General features: G+C 40.7%; 1 annotated feature.

Annotated features, from left to right (window-relative positions):
• Nucleotides 1625–1919: a silencer, noted in NCBI's record as "tiled region #3146; K562 Repressive non-DNase unmatched - State 12:CtcfO". NCBI's record gives its function as "represses a minimal TATA promoter and a strong SV40 promoter by Sharpr-MPRA in K562 cells {active_cell/tissue: K562}" and the evidence as "EXISTENCE:reporter gene assay evidence [ECO:0000049][PMID:27701403]".

Here is a 3434-nt window from a genome sequence, read left to right on the forward strand (position 1 = left end):
CCTATTTGCTTTGCTAATGGAAGAAATACTCTTCTTTTTCTTTGTTCACTTAACAGTTAACTTAATAAAGGAGTTGGATATTATTGCTTTCTGAAATGCAATTGCTAGTTAATTTTTGCAGTTTAGCATCTGCTTCACAGTAACATTAAAAAACTGAGTTCTTGAGTGTAAGCATCATCAAAAATAAATGCTTTTGTTTTGCAAAGTAATTTCCTTTGTAAACTCACAAATCTTTTGGACCACATGCTTCTGTGACAGCTGTAGAGGTATCAGACCAGACTCTATTACGCATTTGCCTTTAATTGTCCATAAGCACCTTTCTTCCTTCCTAACAGCACCATTAAGAGATTTTACCTATATTCTGTGTCAGAAATCATTTGCAGTGGGCCATGGGACCCTGCCGTGGACATTCAAAGGTTATATCTCTCTTCACAAAGCAGAGTCCTGGGGCTAACGGGACTTGCCCTTAGAATGACCAGGCTTTTTGAGAACCAACTGAGCACACAGCCATGACATAATATAATCATATAATAAATAATTATGCACATGTTCATGTACTTTATTATTATATATATAATTTATATATATATTATATATATATTTGAGATCGAGTCTTGCTCTGTCTCCCAGACTGGAGTGCGGTCGTGCGATCTCAGCTTACTGCAAGCTCTGCCTCCCAAGTTCACGCCCTTCTCCTGCCTCAGCCTCACGAGTAGCTGGGACTACAGGTGGCCGCCACCACACCCGGCTAATTTTGTTTTTGTATTTTTTGAGATGGAGTCTCATTCTGTTGCCTAGGCTGGAGTGCAGTGGTGAGATTTTGGCTCACTGCAGCCTCCACCTCCTGGGTTCAAGCGATTCTCCCGCCTCCGCCTCCCAAGTATCTGGAATTACAGCCACATGCCACCAAGCCTAGGTAATTTTTGTAATTTAGTAGAGATGCGGGGGGGGGGTTTCACCATGTTGTCCGGGCTGGTCTCAAACTCCTGACCTCAAGTGATTCGCCCACCTCAGCCTCCCAAAGTGCTGGGATTACAGGTGTCACCGCACCCAGCCATATTATTAAAATACAAATATAACTACCTATTTGAAATTATACTCTGCAATACTTAATTTCTATTATATGAATGTTTTTATTTAAAAATAGCAGCCAAGGTGGGAGGATCACTTGAGTTCAAAACCAACTTGAACAACATAGTAAGAACCCATCTCTACAAAAAATTAAAAAATTAAAAATTTAGCCTAGGCACAGTGGCGTGTGTCTGTAGTCCTAGCTACTTGGGAGGCTGAGGCAGGAGGATCGCTTGAGCCCAGGAGTTCCAGGCTGCAGTGAGCTCAGTGGGTTTGCTCTTGACTGTGCCATTGGTATTTATTTGCCAGTGAGTGTGTGGGGAGGAGGTGCCTCTTTGGAGGTGTGGAGATGGATCTTGGCCAGGTGGACTGGGATGTCTACATGCAGGACGGAGCAGCCCCTGGACGTGTGCAACAGACCAGGCTTGGGAAGAGTAAAGCTGGACCTGAGACCTACTAGCTCCACGTCTTCATGTCTGACATGGAATTCCAAGGAGCCTGTGAATTTTAATCTGAATATGGGCTTCCAGGTCATTATGAAGGTAAGATGATAGGGCATCTTTTTTTTCAATAATTTGCTAGATTGATTTATAATCTTCAAATATGTGTAAAGATGCTATGTTGATATCCATTTTACCCCAGGCCCTGGCAAACATTATGGCCGGGGAATGGCTGGTTACGAGTCTTTTGTTTGAAAGGTTTAATCTTTGCTTGTAGATCTAGCCACTTACCACGAGGTGGCAATAGCAACCTGCACAACGAATGCCAAGCTCCAAGCAAGGTGTGGATTCTCCACTGATTTCCTGGGCCGAAGAATTTTCCTATGTTTTAGAAATATTGTGATGAAGTTTCATTTTTATGTGATGAAAATGTTTTAAAATTGATTGTCGTGATGGTTGCACAACTCTGTGAACGGACTAGGAGCCATTGGATTGTACACTTTAAATAGGTGAATTGTATAATATGTAAATTATATCTCAATAAAGCTGTTATATATATATGTATATATAAATATATATACATCTGTGTGTGTGTGTGTATATAGTTATCTCACCCAAGATCCTGCCTCCAGAAAGACCCACATTAAATAGATCCTGATGGATCTCCCTGGTTCAAAAATAAATGGTATTTTGTTTATTTCTAAAAGTGAATAGTATTGTAAATGGTAGACCTATGGATATTTCTCTTTTTATATATTTCTTTATTTAAAAATAGAAATGCCCATGAATGTTACTTTCTTTTAAAGTTGGAGAGGAATCCTTTATCCTACTCTGTGGTCAGTGTTATCTGAGGATCTTTGCTATCAAAGAAGCTGAAATGGAGCCAAATTGTGAAAAGAAGATTAGTGACAGGACTAACAATTGCAAAGAAAGATCACATAAATAGTCAAACAGGAAAAGCCAAATCACTGCCTTGGGCCTTGAAAGAGATTAGTTGGGTTTTTGTCTACAAGAAAAGATAAATATTGTTGGAATTAAATCTCTCTCTCCTCACTGCCCCCAACCCACCCCCACTGCACCGCACTTGGCCACGTGTGACTCCTGAGGAATACCTGCAATTGTAAGACCAGGAGTATATCAGGTTCATGCAAATAGACAGTCCACTGGAACATGTCCTAGTTAGGCAATCACTGAAATTATATTGCAACTCTGGAGGGGAAATGTTGATGGGACTGAAGCACCACAATGTGATATCTACCTAATCTGCTCATCTTCATCTAGTCCGACCTTTTAAAATACAAATCAAGCATAAAATAAATCAAACTTCAAGAGTTATTTATCATTTCTCTTATCCATTCATATCCAATGATTAATAGGGATGCTGAGGCCAGGTGTGGTGGCTCACGCCTGTAATCCCAGCACTTTGGGAGGCCTAGGCAGGTGGATCACCTGAGGTCAAGAGTTCGAGACCAGCCTGACCAACATGGTGAAACCCCGTCTCTACTAATAGTACAAAAAAAAAAAAGCTCATGGTGTAGCACGCCTGTAATCCCAGCTACTTGGGAGGCTGAGGCAGGAGAATCGCTTGAACTCAGGAGGCGGAAGTTGCAGTGAGCTGAGATCGTGCCATTGCACTCCAGCTTGGGCTACGAGAGCAAAACTCCATCTCCAAAAAAACAAAATAAAATAAATAATAATAAAAAATAAGGATGCTGATCAGAGCATTAAAAGTTCTCATTTGAAGCAAATGAAAACAATAAATCTAGACTATACATTGCTCAATCCCCTGTAGACCTCATAATAAACATGCATTTGGATTAGTGATTGAAGTACAGAGTATTTTCCACACAAGTCTGCTTACAACAGCCTTCCTTTCCGTGACACTTGCTGGGTACAAATTCCAGTTCCTCAAATGGACACATT

This window comes from Homo sapiens, chromosome 8 (genome assembly GCF_000001405.40).
Source record: "Homo sapiens chromosome 8, GRCh38.p14 Primary Assembly".
In the NCBI taxonomy this organism is placed as follows: Eukaryota; Metazoa; Chordata; class Mammalia; order Primates; family Hominidae; genus Homo; species Homo sapiens.